Consider the following 18629-nt stretch of genomic DNA (forward strand, 5'->3'; position numbering starts at 1 on the left):
AGTAAATAGGAGTCTATAATTCAAGACATTTAGAAGTTCATTTGGTGGCAGTGCAGTATTAGGATGGGCTCCATCTTGCTGCCACTAGAGAAAATAAATATCATTTATTCTAGACATGATGGTTGCACTTCTGCAAAATTAGTTAGATGCTGTTGAAAATCTTCTAAATTAGTTACACAGGACTCCCTAATGGGTAATTCAAGACAACATTTCTGTCCTCTAGGCCCGAATATTGAAGTTATTGGTATAACCACTTAGGTTCCCATAGACATCTCAAACTCCATATTGCCACCTTCCCTTGCAAGTCTTTTCCTTTCTGTGTGTTCCGTGTCTCAGTTTACTGCACCACTATTCATCTAGTTGTTCAAACTAGTTATCTAGAAATCATTGTTAGTTCTTTTTACCTACTCTCATCCCCCACGAGGCAAAACCTGAGTCCTATTGTATTTACCTTCTAAATATCTCTTGTATTTGTTTATTTTTCTTTTCAAGTGTCTCTAAATCCAGACTTTTACATTTATCTCTTAGATAATTACAAAAGAGATCTAAATGGTCTTTCTGCTCTCATTTTCTACCATTCACCTGAACTCAGCATTTCAATACACCTGCCTGACCATGAATTTCCTCTGCTGAAAATCTTTGATCATTTTCTACATGCCTGCATGTTAAAACTATGCCCATTAGTAAGTTCTACAAGGTCACTTATGATTTGGTTTATATTTCTCACACATGCACTGTTCTTTCTCCTTTATGATCCAGAATCTTTGCTATTCTTTCTTATTGTCCTTTCTTTCCTCCTCTTCTGGTGACCAGCTTTGTTTTCGCTATGTTTTTAAGTATCTCTTTTGAGAAACCTTTCAGAAATCCTTATTTCCAGTCCCACCTCCCAAAATTTGTTTCTCAACAAGTGAGCATATTACATCATAGTTATTTCTCTCTCTTTCTTTAGTGGGGCTTTGAGTTCCTTAAAAGCATAAATAGCCAGCCGCGCATGTCTTATGTACCTTTCTGTCCCCTGTGCCTACTTTTAATCTAAGATTTGTTATGAATATGGAAGAAAGGCATTTGACTTTAATGTTAAAGTGTTACAGTGTCAAAATTCTCCATATTTTAAAATAGTTCATGCTGATATTTTTTAATTTTTTTGGTCTAATGCTTGTCTTTCAAATGCTTGCATTGTTATTGCCAAAATTAAAATTCTCTTGGCCAGTAGCTTTTCATGTTTGATATATTCAGCTTCTTTTATTTCACAAAACCAGTATATATTTATTATTATTATTATACTTTAAGTTTTAGGGTACATGTGCACAATGTGCAGGTTAGTTACATATGTATACATGTGCCATGCTGGTGTGCTGCACCCATTAACTCATCATTTAGCATTAGGTATATCTCCTAAAGCTATCCCTCCCCCCTCCCCCCATCCCACAACAGTCCCCAGAGTGTGATGTTCCCCTTCCTGTGTCCATGTGTTCGCATTGTTCAATTCCTACCTATGAGAGAGAATATGCGGTGTTTGAAAACCAGTATATTTTATATTGTTGATCATTTTGTGATTTTCCTTTTCATTAATTAACATAAGAAATATAAATTATTGCATATAGGAAATATTTGTATTGCATGTAAGAAATATGAATTATTGCATATAGAAAGGAAATAATTATTGCATTTAGAAATATTTCAAACAGTGAAGGAAAATAATAAATGTCCATTTCAGAATAGATTGGAGAAGCATTAAAAATATCTAAATGATTAACTGAGATAATTAGCTGGTAATAAGTATGTATAGTGAGACAGAGTTATAATAGATTGATGGTCCATGAAAGAACAAAGGGGAAGAACAATGTTTAAATTTAGAGTGCTAAGTGTGATTACAAAGAGGAGATATATGGGTGAAATCATAATTTAAAGGAAATGATAGAAAGCATATAACATTAAAGTATCTAATAAAGTATTCAACTATATATTTAATGTCAAAAGACCTTATGCTAGATTATGATGCAAATATTCTAGAATTTAAATAAAAATACTTGTTTTTGAAATCCTATTTACATAAGCAAGTAGAAAGTTGTAGCAAAATCACTAAAAATCAAACAAAGAAAAGTGTAAAGATTATCACTGTTTTTTTTTAAATCATCAATATTTTAGAAAGTCTGATTTTCATAAAGGAAAAAGGGGAGGAAATTTTCTCCCCATTAATAGCTTAGCTGTATTTTATCTTTTTAAACTTCAAATGAATTCTCCTATTTTCTCTGAGATCTCAGACTAAATTTCACATTGAATTGAATTAACTTTTACTCTTCTGAGAATCTTCTTTCTGTCCATTCAACAAGAAGTGTAAAGTAGGTGTAATACATTGTGAATTTTTGTCTTTAACCTCAGTTCTAAGTTCTAGCTCAGCATTAGGCCCTAGGTCAGCAAAATTTCAGCTCCTATTTCTTCTGCATTTACCAAGAAAGAATTCTGATTTAACTATGAAAATTCCAAACTATAGAAAAATCCTGGGATTACTATGTATGGTGTCTTGGTCACTTTTTGTTCATGCCTAGTAAATCAATTGAGATCCATAGGCTGCACAGTTAAGAATATTAGCAATGACTTACCTTACTGTGTGTTTGCTATGTGCTGGTACTATTCTAAGTACTTAAAACATTGATTCATTCATAAGTCTTTATTTCTAGCACAGAGTCTACACTCTTAGATCTTGACTAGGACTTGAGCAAAGCCTCAGGGTGGTAGAAAAGTACCAAGAGATGGAGAGGTACTAACTGATATGACATAGAGAAGCTATCCAACTGTCCAATCATCTCCCAAAACAAATTGAGTGAGAATTTTGACATGCACCTCAAAATTATACTTTTGAGGTTTCTGATACCCTTGATTTTCATTTTTCTTTAATGATATCCTAGATATTTTTTACCCCAATTATGCCTGCATACAAATGAACAGGAGAAGAAAATAGCAAGATTTATCCTGGCCCTAAGACTCCAGTATGACGATGGCCTTACCTGAATTATTCCAGTTTGTTCCAATGCAGAGCTTCATGGTAGCATGAAAATGGTGATATTTTATGCTCTAATGGAACACGCTGACCTGTTGTTCTAAAAACTTTGGGAATTGGAGGAAGTGAGTAGGGAGAACCCTCTTCATAGTTTATCCAGAATTAAAATAGAATGAAAGATAGGAGACCAGTCTGTGGAATATTTGATGGCTTGATACATGTTTCCATGTTGATTACCAGCTCCCAAACTTCCTTTACATCTACTTCCCTAGTCTTCACAGAAGGAGTAATTCAATCCCCTTTTCCAATCCACTCATTTCTAAGAGTTGTAATCATTGGTCATCTAATCTGAAGAGCAGTGTCACTATTTTTTCAAATGGCATGTCGACGTTATAGAGCAGTGATTCTTAAACTTGAACTACAGTCATTACAACCACCTGGAGGACTGTTAATTACTAAGCCCCACACTCACGGTTTTTGATTCAGTAAGTCTGGGGTAGTGCCTCAGAAACTGCTTTTCTATGGCTTCCCCAGTGATGTTGATGCTGCTGGCCTGGAGACACATTTTGAGGACCACTGTTGTAGAAAGTTGTTTTATAAACATGATGCTATTCTCAGAAAATATGTATTCTCTGATTCCAAAGTAATAGTAGTAATTAGAATATTTTCATTCTTACCTGGCATGTCCAGTATTGAAACTGAGAGGTTTTCTTTCTATTTTGTATTTTTTTTCTAGCTTAAGCCAGTCTGAAATTAGTCAGGAAATAACTCATTTAAGCATCAAATAAGATGATCATACAGTGAGGTCTAATACTATGAACATCCATGAATCATTCTTAGTATTCATGAATCTAATCTGACAAATTCTTAGGCTTACTGTATTTGTAACACTATTGTGCTATACCCTCTGCAGCACCACCTTGCGGTTAGGAAATCTAATTAGAAAACACACTTAACATCTCATAAAATGATAGGAAATATTTCCTACACTGACAGTGGTGATGCGTTTTGGTCAGCGAAATCACTGGGCTCTAGGAAAACATCCAAACTACAAAAGGATAGCCAGTTATCAAAGTGTTTTAACCAGTGGACAGGAATATGTCCTGAGATACTCTTGCTGTGTGGAAATAAGATGAATCCAATTGCAGAGCTTCTTCAGGGCCCTTGATGCCCTGAATTGCTTAAGACACAGGAATCCACCAGCGAGTTGGATTTCTTCTAGTCCTGAGAGACATCTAACAGTCAGTGCTAATTTGTCCAGGTGTGCTGAGTCAAAGTCGACTTGTAGTCCTTGAAGTTGTTAATATTTGTATAGCTGAGAAAGGACAGAGCCCTTCACTTAGTGATGACAGTCACTAGAAATCTGGTGGCCTAGTGCACCAAATTCTGAAACTAAAACACCCTGAGTGGTAGGCCCTTTTAATAAACTTTATACTGAACTTAAATTCAAATAATTGTGCAGACAATTTAAATTGAAGGTATATAGAGCTGAAGTTTTCTGTTTTGTAAGTTGATGTTAAACCATATATTCATTTATGTTTATTCTTTTAGGAAAGTGATCATAACGAGGTACACTAAAAACCATAGAGTATTTTCTAGAATATTTTCCACTATTAAGTTAGACTTACAGGGATCTGCAGATGGCAAAGTTACAAATAAGTCTTTGAATGTGCTTATTTTAAAAGTATAGTATCAGGCACAACAAAACTTGTTGATTCTTAAACAAAGTGGCATGGATGGGGGCATTCAAATTTTTATATGGACTAGGCAAAATGATGGTCTATCCAGACTCACCTTTGAGCTAACACACTCAGCATCAAGACACAGATGGATGGGAAAGATGACCCTGACCCACATAAGACCCACATTCCTGTGCAAGGATAGAAGCATGATAATCAGGAAATGATGGTTGTTAGTTACAGAAAATGCATTATGGTGAAAACCAGGGGGAAAGTGCTTATGAGAGGAAGTGATTGGATTATGGGGAATGAGAGAATAAGGATAGATCATTCCTACTGAGTAAATTGCTGTGATTTATAAGAGAAAGGGTATAGTGATATCTTGGCCCATTACTGACTAGATTCATTTCACAAACAATCCTAAATCAGAATGTGACAGTTTATGGGGAGACAAACAAAGCTCCCAAAGATGCTTATAAGTTACTAAGCTTTTAAACTGGCATATTTTCAACTCCTCATACTTTTGCCACCATCAGCTCCATTTATTTTTGTAGCTGACATTCATAAATGTAATTCTGTAGCCACCCTTATGTGACACTAGTAATAGTTTACTATATGCTGTGATAAAAGGGAAAATGCTGGATATATTTTATTATATGTTTTGGGATTTTGTTAAATTTCATAAGAAAGATACCTAAAATAATTTTATATGTATTTAAGTATATTATAATACTCTACAATACTAAAATAATTAAGTGCTGTTTTATAATAGATGGGCATTTTGGTGTTCTAAATATTTCTCTTAAATTACCTATGAATTAATCAAACAGTTACCTTTCATTGCTCCAGACAGGTGAAACACATATTGTTATATATTATATATTAATATATATTCAGTTATATAAGTTTACTTTTATTTTTCAGTTTGGATTTAGGAGCTCTAATCCTTCAAGAATACAAGTTGACAAAATACATTCTGAAGGAAATTTTTGGCAAAGGATTCAACACAGAAAACTTGTGTAACAAGACAGGCAATTTTATCAAGAACTTTACTGAAAATGCAAACATTGTTTACAGTGATTGTTTCTTTTAAAAAATGAAGAAAGAAGGGAAAACGATTTTTGGAAAAGTTCAAGAAATGGCATTAAAGCATAGCTCAGCAAGGGGCTAAATACCTTGCTTTTTTATAATGATTGATCAGTGCAAGGAAATTAAAATATTTAGTAGTATAGGTGATTATATGTGTTGTCATGAATGATCTTTGAATGTCATTTTTCTCTTACCTCTGCTTGGGGTCACACACTCCCTGATGAGAGATTTGATTGCTAGTATTAAAGGAATGATTGCAGGGTTGACATTTTATTGTGAAAGAAGAGAAGTTGAAAGCAAAGCGCTATATTTCTTTCTGAGCTGGCATACAGACACACTCACAAGCCAGAGTTTTCCTTGGGAAAACTTTGCACTTTGTCCTCAAATGAGACCCGAAGAAGCCATTATAGAGCAGAGATACAGAAATTTTTCCAGATACAAGCTACCGCAGAAAAATCTCACAACTTTCTTAGCCGCAGAAAATTCTCAATACATTTTTCATGATGTCTGGGCAACGATAATGTGCCACTCTACTTGCTTGCTAGAATGAGTTAGGTTGAAAAGTATAGTCCCAACAGCATCGAGTAGTATATGTTACAGAGGTACATGAATCAAATAGATGTTGGAGATGATCTTTCCTTTTTGACGTAATTAATTTTAGCCCATCTTTCTGGTATGAGTTAGATACCAAGGATCACAGTCTATCACAGCCCCTTCTACTTCATGGCGTTTGTCTTTTTGTTCACAATAGCCATCCTAACAAAAGAAGACATTAACGCTGGTCTTAACGGCCTTACATTTTCTGGCCCCCATTTCCTCTCGGATTCTCTCATTCCAACTCAACTGGGCTTCAGCTTCACTGTGGTCCTTGTTATTCTTAGGACATACCAGGCGAAATCCTGCCTCAGGGTCTTCACGCTGGCCATTCTCCTCCTGGACACTCTTTCTCCAAACAGCCAAACAGTATTCCCTTACCTCCTTCAAATATTTGTTTAAATGTTATCTGCTTAGTGAGGCATGAGCTGACCACTATATTTAAAATAGTAACGCCCTAAGCATCTTCATGCCCATGACCTTGTCTCATTTTTCACCATGGTACATAATACTTCCTAACATGGTATATAATTTACTTGTGTATTATATATTCATTTATTTATATTTTTCTAATATATATTATTTGTCTCTCTCCATTAAAATGGAAGTTCCATGGTCTTTGTCTCTTTGGTTCTCTTCTATATTTCCAGCACTTCCAAAGTGCCTGGCATGCCATAGGTGTTCAGTAAACTGTTGCTAAATGAAAAGGGTTAAACAGTAGAAGCTTTATGGATGGATCCAAAGCTACCTTGATCACCTGTATGAGCTTTTTGTCCTCTTAGTGCCTAGCACATAGTAAGCACTTAATAAATATTTATTCATTCAATGAATGCATAAATTTATTCTCAAGGCCAACTAAACATTTGGTTATAATAAAGACAAGGGGACTCTAAAATATTTTCCTGTTTTATACCACTTGAAATGTGTGGCCGATCAGAAAATTGTTTCTGTCCACACTGGTTCTTACAGAGCTGGAAGTCAAATTTTTCAAATAACATTAATAATAAGGGAGCCTTAATACATTTATACAGAGGTCATATCCCATCCCCTTTTATAGAGTCAGAGGCAGAAGAGAGGCCATTGAAACCCACAAAGCATCTTATATTTATATTTTTCAAGGCAATTAATTATGCTGATGGCAGGAGACCTCTTATAGCTCTCATCTGTTATGTATAATTACCTAAATGAATTAGGCTACAATTTGAGGCAGTTTTCCTAGGACCATAAAGCTAGCAGTAAAAAGAATGAAAATGTCTGTTTATGCAGGGTATGTGTATGATTCCTTGATACCTTAGTTGTTGCAGAAACTGTGTACCCAATTCTGTCTTCATCATTAGCATCTCTTAGCTCATCAAATCGAATCCTGGAGCATTCTTTCTTTACCCTCTCCCCTGGATGTTTTCTTGGCAATGTAAAACTGGATCTTTGAGTACGGGGTGTCAATGTTCAGATTATTGTACAGTTTTCAGAAGTACAAATAGGAAGAGTATCTTTGTCACTCCAAAGGTATTTGTTCACTGAAAGTTCCTGAAATGTATTTTCTAGATTCCTGTATAGTTATATTCAAGTACTATTATTAAAATATGTCAATGCTATTATTAAAATATTTTTGGATTGAGTTGTGCACCTAAATTCCATAGACATAATGTTATATGCCTAAGAAATATATTCTAAATATCAATTACTTATTCACAGTTTAAAGATTGTCACCACTATTAATCTCTTAGTCTGTTTTGTGTTGCTATAAGAAAGTATCAGAGACTTGGTAATTTGTAAGAATAGACATTTGTTTTCTTATAGTTCTGGAAGCTGGGAGGTCCAAGATGAAGGTGCAGACAGATTTGCTTATCTGGTGAGGGTTGCACCCTCTGGAGGGGAGGAACGCGTGTCCTCACACAGTGGAAAGCAGAAGAGCAAGCTATCCAAATGCTTAGTGAAGCCTGTCTTATAAGGACCTTAATCCCATTCACCATGGGAGGTATTCTCATGACGTAATCACCTCTTATAGGCCCCACCTCTTCATACCATCACATTGGCCATTGTATTTCAACATCTAAATTTTGGAGGGGACATGTTCAAATGATAGTAACATCTTATAGCTCTCTAGTATTGAAATAAACCTTTTGACTCTCTTCAGAGCATGTGATTCACTTGAACCAGATATACTGCCCATATTTATACCATCCCAACTTGCAAGAAATTATCTGCAATTTAAAAACAAAGACAGAAACTTTCTCCATTCTGATCCTATTTGCCTCATTCCAAGCTCATCTTTCCATTTGCCAGATAGGCCTCTCAGACTTCTGGAGGTTCTCAAACTCAATGAATATGAATCCAAATTTGTCATCTCCTACCATAGTCTTACCCCACCAAAATCAGTGTATGTTCCTGAATGTGCTGTTGTGAACTGCCAAAATTCACTAATATTAATGCATGAGTTAGCTTTTACTACTTTCTCTATCTCAATTTGCACCCACATCAAATTATTCCGAGTTCTTTTTATTAATCTTTCTATAGTGACTCTAGGTTTCATCTCCTTCTATCTATCCCTTCTGTCACTATTCTTATTTAGGATCTCATGTTTTACTTGGCCTTTTGGAAAGAGCTTATCTACACTCAGTGTTTTTCAAATAACTTAACTTTTTCATAGTTACCTGAGTTGTCTTCCTAAATCAATGGAAAAATAATTCTTTTCTCAAAAACCTCAGCGGAATCCCACTATTTAAAGAATAAACTCCAAATTCTTTAACGTAACAATCAGGTACTCTCTAGCTTAATTCCTAAATTACTACTTGGGCTTGTACATTTTTATTCCTCCATAAATACTGGTCTCTCTGTGATAGTTCTGTTTCTTGGATTTAGGGATTCTGAATCTTTTTTTGTACCATGAATCCCTTTGGAAATCTGGTGAAGTTTATTGACTCCTTCCTAGAGTAATTTATTTTTTACTTGTAAAATAATAACATTACCAAGATAAGCAATTCTACAGCAATACAACTCTATCTGTCTGTGGGTCCTGTTGTTTATGTCTTTGTGGCTTTTCTATGATCCTCCCCTTATCACAGAAGTGCCCCTAACCCTGCTCTATCCTTCTCATCTATCAAAGACTAGTGCAATTCCCACCTTCACTGTGCATCTTTACCTTGCAACCCTGCCCCATCTGTATCATCACTTTGCTCTCTCATTGTAGATTATATGTTATTTATTTCTATTTATCCCTTATCTTTATCTTTTATGATACCTTGGTAATTGACAACAATGTGGCAAATACTGAACTAGCCACTTTTACATACTTTGTTTTCATAATTTCTTTTAAAGCACTATAAAATATTCATATGATGGGGAAACTGAGGTCCAAACATTTTGGTGTTTCACCAAGATCATACAACTTGTATTCTTGCTAGATTATGAGTTATTTGAGGAAAGGAATATTTCATCTTCCTGATTATATCTTCTCCGGATCTGTGGGATAGTACTTTTTCAATAATGTTTGCCCATATGTATTTAAAAATTGAAAATATTGGGAAATACTTATCTCTCAATATTTAATATCATTAGAATTGACTAGGGGCCCCAGGAGGACAGAGGTGTGTGCAGCAGTGTTCTTAGGTTAATGTCTGTGTGAAATTAACTGTGGCTAAATCTTTCCCTGCATACTATTATCTCTCCTAATTCCCAGTGGCTTCACAAATTGAAATTGTACACATAAGGATTTTAAACAGAAACATTTTTAAGATATTGTCTCTTGTTTTGCGTTACTGAAAAAATAACAAAGTAGGACAAATTAAGAAAGTAGAACAAATTAAAGAATTTAATTGGAGTCATAAGGAATTCAAGAAATATTTGAAGATTGCATTTCTAATAATAGATCAGAACAATTGAATAACCATTTCATATTCTCCACCCTCAGTGAAAACAATAAAATCAACTCAATTTACATTTGTAAAACAATATATGTATACTTTCATTATACCAGTTTTAATTTTCAGCTGTGCTTCTCTATCTCTCTGTAGTCAAATACTACGTTTCTGCAAGGGTTTTCTTAAAACAGCATTGCTAGGTTAACTGTTTTAAAATAAAAATATTTGCTTAAAAAGGTTTACTTTAGCAATAGTAATGCTTTCCTTTCAAAATATTATTTCAAGTTTTAAAATAATGAACTTATGATTTTAATTAATTAAGTTTTCATGTGGAAGTTGTTCATCTAGAGTAACTAATTTTAAAGAATTGGATCTTTTTATTTGGTAATGCCTTTAGCACTCTGTGAAATATAAATTAATGTAAAATTAAAATTAATTTATTATGACTATCCATTTTTCATGGTCTTTTCTATTATTGTGCTGTAGCAAGTACTAATTCTAATGTAGCTAGATAATTAATTTTCTATTGTCATAGCTCCAGATGGTCCTCCTGAAAATGTTCATGTAGTAGCAACATCACCTTTTAGCATCAGCATAAGCTGGAGTGAACCTGCTGTCATTACTGGACCAACATGTTATCTGATTGATGTCAAATCGGTAAGGCATGTCTTACCTTCTGTAAAAGCCAGTATAAAATGGTTAATAATACAAGATTTGGAACCAGACTATTTGAATTTGAATTTTGGCTCTGTTAGACAGTAGGAAAATTACTTTACTTGTTTGTGTTTCAATGTCTACATCTGTAAAGATTAATAATAGTAAACAGGGTATGAGGACTGAATCAGTTAACATGCATAAAGAACTTGGAACATTCCCTGAGATATGGTAAATGCTCAATAAATATAAGATATTAGTAACATTATTATAATATGTTTTATCAGTGTATAGAATGTGTATATATATGTATGTATATATACACACATACAAGTGGTTAAATTGGTAGTAATACAAATATCTGGTTTACAGTACGGTAGAAAGTAATTCATAATACAAAATGAGAAGAGAGAAGGCATTAGGAGAAATATCTTCCAGATAAAATAACATCAGAGCTAAGTCTTGAAAAATAAGTGAAGCAGAACATAAAAGGTAAATGGGAATAGGGGTGTAAAAAAGTAAGCCTCATTCAAGAAAAATCAAGTCTTTTGGCAATCCCAGGCTATAGCATTAAAAAAAATAAGTTCTAAGAGATGAGGCTAGATCCAGAGGCTGACTATACAACAAGTTACAGAGTTAGGGTTTTATGTTAAGGGCAGTGGGGTGCCAGTTGGTGATACAGATTTCTACTGTATAACATAGGCATGGTTGCAGTGTAGAGGATAGATTGAGAGCAGTATGGGGGGTGTAAAATCAGGCAAGGAGACAGGAAACTATAAAAGGGCAAGGAAAAAGAACAGAGGAAATGTAGCAAGAGAACGAATGAAAAATAATCTAAACCTATAGAATTTGGTGAAAAATCAACTAACTCATGATGGTGAGTGAGTAGGATAATTAAGGATGATTGTAAGTTATATGACAGAAGATTATGAGGAGGAACAGATCTGTAGAGGAAAGGAATGAGTTCAGTATTAGACACACTGAGTTTGAAATATGTGGCAGTCCTCCAGGTCAATACACCCATTGGCAGTATTAAATATGGATCTGGAGCTCAGGAGAGAAATTCTGGATTTCCAGATTTGGGTAATGTTAGTATTTAGAAGATAGTCAAAATTATAAGAGTGAATGAGATTCACTATGGAATGTGCAAAGTAAGATGACAACCTAAGGACAGCACCCTGGGGACTATCAACACTTAAATAAGAGGCCATTGAAGAGACTGAATGGGAGTAGATAGCCATTTGGATGGAAATCCAGGTATGAAAGTCAAACCCTTCATATAAGATAGGATGCTCAATGATGTCAATAATGCAGAACTGTTAGCCAGAATAAAGACTGGAAGTATTTCCTTTGCACCCTGCTTGGGTTTTGCTGGGCCTGATGAACACAGTTTTCTAATAGCATCTTATGCATTAAATTGTATAGCATAGTGATTTCTCCTCCTTTCTCTCTGTCTCTTGACCAACTTTATAATTTTATTATGTCTTTGTAGTATTCCTTAAATGGAGATATAATGCTTCTATCTCAAAAGACCTGTCATCATTAAAATAAAATTGAAAGAATTGTTGATGTATTTGTTCTCCAATTCAGTCTCTATTTTCTGTTCCTTTTGTAGAGCATATTTGTGAAGATTTTAGTATGTAATTAGCCAAAAATAATTAGCACGAATGATGAATGCCCTGGGAATATGCATTAAAAACAAATTATAAAATGATAAAGCTTTACTCTGTCAAATGAAAGGCACTTTATTAATGAAAATAGTTCTCCCTTGGAAATTCTGCTTAAAGGAACAAAAAAAATAAAACATATTAAGAAGTGATTTTGTAATCTCATTCTTGTAGCCTTCTTGCTGAGTTTCAAAGTGAGCAAGGGAAAGAGGGTAGAATGGGAAGATAACAAATATTTTAATTGCTTATTTTCTACAAGTTACATGTTCATCTCTTCCTATTCATTATCTTATTATATGTTATCCAGCAATATTTTCATATAAACATTATTACCTTCATTTTGCATAAAAGAAATCTAAGGAACAGAGACGGTGAATAACTTCTCACAGAGCTAAGACTTGGCTAAAACTAACAGATCAACAATGGTTTGACAGGAGAAAGGGAAGGTCATTAAATAACAAATAAAATTCGCCAACATAAATATAGCCTCACCAAAACTCCTTTAGATCAACAATAGCAAGAACAGATTCAGATAGAACCTAGTAATTCACAGTTTCTTTAGGATTCTTGGAATTAAGTAGAGGTATTTCCTTCCTTCCTTCCTTCCTTCCTTCCTTCCTCCCTCCCACCCTCCCTCCTTCCCTTACTTCCTTCCTTCCTTCCTCACACATTTTAAAATACTTCCAATGTACCAGAACTGTGCTAGGTGCTGGATATGTAGAAGTGAACAACTCTGATAAAGCACTTCTGCAGCTCATTTCATTAATATGTAATTATCAACATTCAAGAATCACTGGTTCCCAGACTAAGGAAGAATACATAGCATTGCACTTGGGACTTATTGTGCAGCCTGTCTTCTACAAAATACTAGCCACACCGATAAAACTCTTAACTTTAAAAGTGTAAACAAAAATTGTCAATCTTAATAAAATGTAAATATCATCCTAGATGATTCTGCTGGAAATTAATGCATTTAGGATCATTTTCATTGTTCCTTTTACTCTTTGACTGAACAAATTGTTATGAGTAGCTTCTGTGCATCAAGACAAGGATGAAAAACATAAAGCTCTGCTGTCAGGTAGCTCACACCCTAGTGGTACACACTGGAATAGAAACAGCTAATTATAGAGTTTGAGGTATGAAGTTTTGTGGGGAATATAAGGTAACAAAATAATTAAAGTTCCTGTTATGGGAGGAATAGAAGATAAAGGAGACTTCATAGAGCAGGTTAAATATATTCTAGGACTTGACGAATGAATAGGGGTACACAAGATGGGAAAGGGTGGAGGCGGGGTAGGAAGAGAAAAAAAATAGGAAGTGGGGCAGGAAGAGGAGAACCAGAGTCTAATTGCTGATAATGAATATAAAGTAACACTTCAAAAATGATGAAAGACATTTTATAACAATAGATTATCAAGTACAATATGAGCAAACAAACTTGGAATTGATTGAAGGAAAATGAGTCAGAAAGATGTGATTTCAGTCCTGGGTAAGTGGACAAGTAATAGCTAACAACAACAAAGGTGTAGTAGGTTTAATAAAGAAAGGTAATGATGATCTTTTGTACTGCCAAATTTGAGGACCGAGAATTCCTTTCAAATTTTGTTAAATACTTTTAAAGATATAATATATGCGTGCCATGTCATATTTTGCGACTTGATATTTGTTATCTATTGTTTTAATGGAAGGCATTGGAAGAGTATAATTTATAAATTATACTTATAAATTATAAATTTATAATTTATAAATTATAAATAGTTAAATTTATAAGATCAAACCCAGTGACCTTGTGGAAGTGTAGAATTCTATGGACTCTTGAAAGACCTGGGCTCAAATCCTTCCTCTGCTACTAAGTAACCCTGAGGAAGTCACCTTACCTCTATAAAATCAGAATTCAAATAGCTATAAAAGACAAGTGACATGAACCAGTAGTCAAAGTGAAGCCAATTGAGTGGGGCTCCAATGAATGGGACCCAGGCCCCTTTACAGAGGTCAATAGTTACCCATCTCTGCACCTCTCAATAATATTTTTTCAGCATGAAATTAAGCCTAGTCTTAAGGAAAATTACAAAAAGCATATTTTTATGTGATATTCAAATGTTAACAACTAGTTAAATACACATTTTCTGCCAGTGGCATATATTCCTGATCAATAGGATTTCTACGCTGATTTGTTTTTCTTCCATTTTCGAGAAGTGGGGCATTTCTGTCCACTGCTCTGTCTTAAGGTGGGAATGATCTATTTGACTGTATGCAACGATAGTATTATTTATATCATCCTTTTACTATGTTTCTTTTTTTTCTTTTTTTATAGCAACATCTTTTTTTTAAAAAAAAATTGAGTTAATTTTATTTACATTACCTCAGCAAACATCTCTATAAATGAGTTTCCAGGACAACATTTACAATATAGTTATACCATATGCAAATCAATGTGTGTTTCGCCATATTATCAATAAAATATGTTCTTAGCAAAGAGCATTAAAAGAATACATTGAACCAACCAACCAAACAAAAAATATTTCAAAGTTATAAGGGAAGGTCAAGTTGAAAATGGACTTAATAGTGTTCACTGTGTATAAAACCTGGTTTTAAGTGTTTCAATTAAGATACCTGAAAGTAGTATGTATGATAGGATTTTGAATTTTCTCATGGTTATCTTGGGAAAAGCCCTTCTACTTAGTGCTAGCAAGTTTAGTTATGTTTAATATCTGGAGTGAATAGGCCAGAACCTCCATAAAGGACAGACTATGTTTGAACAAATCATATAGCTACATTTCATATGCCTAAAGACACTCATTTATGCACATTAATAATTATGACATCCACAATTAATTACTATCCAGTGCTACACATAGTACTAAATCAGAGTTTTTCAAACTGCAGCCATCATCAGAATTTTTAAATGAGGTGGAATAAAGTTAAAAAGAGCAGAAAATATCAAAGTGTACTTCAGAAAGATGGTGTATTTCTGAAAAATGTGTTACAGTCATAAGATACGTATATATTTTATATCTATCAGTCTTATCTTCTGAATTATGTTACAAAGAGTGTTTCCTTTTGTGGGTAATGGTGAAAAAATATTGAAATCTATGTGCCAACTACTTTAGATTTGTCCTTTCTAAATCTCAGTGAAACACTGTAAATAGTTGTTATTAGCCCAATTTTACATGCATTGAAAGACTAGACTGTGTAGGTGGTTTCTCAAATACTACAGGAGCTATAAGTGGCCAATTTGGGATTTGAGGCCTGTGTGATTAGGTACCAAAACCTCTATGCTTTCTTCTACAAAATATTGGAGTCAAAAGTAGAGTTTCATTGACTGCAAAGATGATTTTTGCTTATTTATTTAATGGGTTGGTTAATCACGGTTGGCTGGTTTGTCTTTTTTCTTTTACTTTCAACTATTAAAATAATTAATAATTAGTAAGCTGTTATAATAGCACTTTAGATTTCCCAGAGCAATCTGATTGTAAAATAAATAAATACAAATTTGGCTAGATAAATACATCTCACGTAGCTTTGTATTATTATGTTTTGGTGACTCAGATTTCAAGTGCTGCTTCCTTAATTTTTACTTATATTTTCCTATAGGTAGATAATGATGAATTTAATATATCCTTCATCAAGTCAAATGAAGAAAATAAAACCATAGAAATTAAAGATTTAGAAATATTCACAAGGTATTCTGTAGTGATCACTGCATTTACTGGGAACATTAGTGCTGCATATGTAGAAGGGAAGTCAAGTGCTGAAATGATTGTTACTACTTTAGAATCAGGTAAGGAGAATTTCTCAACCTTGCTAAAAATTGACTGAGATTTAGCTGGCTTTCTTACAGTTCATCATACTCCACCAAAAAAGGATATGTGTTATGAGAAGTTTTTAAAGCATATAAACAAAAAAATTAGTGACTCTCTGCAACTGACAAAAAGGAAGATTTCTATTTATATTTTTGAGGTAAAGAGGAGTTATGTAGAATATTCAATCCTTGTAAATACAGCAACAATTAAAGGTATCCGCTGTATTTCTTTGCACTTATTTAATCTGCTAGTTGTTTCAGAAATTAAGTAAGCTTGCCTAAGAGATAATATTTCCAACTGTCTATATCCAATAACACTTCAACTAAAATTCTATTTCAATTATTTCTGTCCCATTATTTGAATGAATATTAAACTTGTAATACTCTGTGAGTATTAAATAATCTGGAATTCGAAAGTAGAATCCAGCTCACATTTATCACAGCTGTTGTCTTCCCTTAGTCAAGTAATATATGTCTTATTATATAACTCTTTGATAAATGTCAGAATACATACAGATTTCCTCAAGTTCTTATGAACAGGGTCTGAATGAATAATAAGATTGTAACCAATAAGAAATAAATTTGGAAATCAACATCCCAGAACTTGCTTGCCCCATCCTCCTTCAGACTCCTGATGTTCTTTGCCACCAGATATATCATTGGAAAAAGCAGATGAAGGGATATGTTGCTATAGTTTATTTGTTGCTATCTGTAAGGTAAGTATAGGAAGTAAAATTTTTTTACAGCTAGTTTTTTTCGTTACATTATATTCTCTATGCATTTTGTCTGTAAAGTTATGGTTCTAAATTAAAAGGTAAATTTTATTATCAGCATCCTAAAATTCCATTTGTTCCTATTCGTCTGCCAAGTATCACAGGTATCTATTTTCTGATTATGCTTTTTACTTCTCAATCCCTCCTACCTGTGAGGAAAGATATGATGAATGTACTCACATTTATACCATAAAGCATTGTTTGTCAAATCTTAATGTGCTATCTGTTTCAAGGATATCACAATTTAATACATTTTTACTAAATCTCTAAGAGTAGAATTTTATGTGTATAACCAAAAATCTGGGTACTAGGAAATTTTTTACAACATTGAGAGAATTCCTTGGTTTATCTGACTTAAAATCACATCCTAAATTTAGAGAAACATCTCATAAGAAAATATATTTATGACACAGCATAAAAACGTGTAGTAACAAATGCAAAAATATCTCTCTTGAACCAACTTAACCTTTATTTTAGCTTTGCATTTTTCCATTTAAAATGAAATATTTGACACAATAGTACGTTTATCTGCTTCTCTCTCTTTTATTCTTTGCTGTTAATTTATTTACATTTTTTGCAAGATAATGAAGCTTGAATATCTGAACTGTTGACAGCCAAATATTACATTTCTTCATGGAAATTCTTTACTTAGTATGGAAGGATATAACTATTTCAAGTTGAACAAAATAGATATAGTCATTCAATCAGTCACTTATATAAAGAACACTAATTATGTTATGCATCAAGAAGTAGCTCCTTTATTCATAAAATAACTTTTATCCTCATACATATTTTAATAATGTATTGGTGCTTAGCTTGTCATATGTTAAGCTGTTATTTATCTAAAATAAACTAAAATATTTATACTATATAAAGAACTCTTAAAACCCAGCAATTTAAAAAAATCCAATTAGAAAATTGGCAGAAGACATGAACAGACATTTCACCACAAAGGAGACATTGTTGGTAAAACAAACAAACAAACAAAAAATGACAACATAAGTTTTCAATACCATTAGCCATTCGGAAAATGCAAATTAAAGCCACAATAAGGTATTATTGTCTATGTACTAGAACAGATAAGGTAATAATTTAAAATATGGCGATGATACCCAATGCTGGCAAGGGATGCAGAAAGACTGGACCTCTCATACATTGCTAGTAGGAATGTAAAATGGAATAGCCACAATGGAAAATAATTTTGCAGCCACTTATAAAACTAAACATGAAATTACTGTGTGACCCAGTAGTCACACTCTTGGGCACTGATCACAGAGAATTGAAAAATTATGCTCACACAAACATCTGTCACCAAGATTGATTGCAGTTTTATTAGTAATAATGAAAACTGGAAACAACCCAAATGTTTTTCCATGATTAAACAAACTCTGCTACATCCACAAAATGGAACACTACTCGGCAATAAAAAGAAGAATGTACTATTAATACATGTAGTATCCACCTTGATGGACCTCAAGGCCATTGTGCTATTGTCATTTTCAAAATGACA

General features: G+C 33.5%; 1 protein-coding gene and 1 long non-coding RNA gene across 2 annotated transcripts in view, besides 1 other annotated feature; one reads left to right on the forward strand and one right to left on the reverse strand.

Annotated features, from left to right (window-relative positions):
- Positions 1 to 18629, forward strand: part of PTPRQ (protein tyrosine phosphatase receptor type Q) — a 236039-nt gene that overhangs the window by 150066 nt on the left and 67344 nt on the right. Inside the window, exons 27-28 of the mRNA NM_001145026.2 lie at positions 10759 to 10880; positions 16139 to 16325. Coding sequence (NP_001138498.1) covers positions 10759 to 10880; positions 16139 to 16325 — 309 coding nt within the window. The remainder of the gene's footprint in view (positions 1 to 10758; positions 10881 to 16138; positions 16326 to 18629) is intronic.
- LOC105369867 (uncharacterized) overlaps positions 1 to 18629 on the reverse strand; it is a 176665-nt gene that overhangs the window by 63727 nt on the left and 94309 nt on the right. The gene's annotated exons all lie outside the window — the stretch shown is intronic.
- Positions 3690 to 3984: a silencer, noted in NCBI's record as "tiled region #7448; HepG2 Repressive non-DNase unmatched - State 13:Ctcf". NCBI's record gives its function as "represses a minimal TATA promoter and a strong SV40 promoter by Sharpr-MPRA in HepG2 cells {active_cell/tissue: HepG2}" and the evidence as "EXISTENCE:reporter gene assay evidence [ECO:0000049][PMID:27701403]".

Source organism: Homo sapiens, chromosome 12, assembly GCF_000001405.40.
Source record: "Homo sapiens chromosome 12, GRCh38.p14 Primary Assembly".
NCBI lineage: Eukaryota > Metazoa > Chordata > Mammalia > Primates > Hominidae > Homo > Homo sapiens.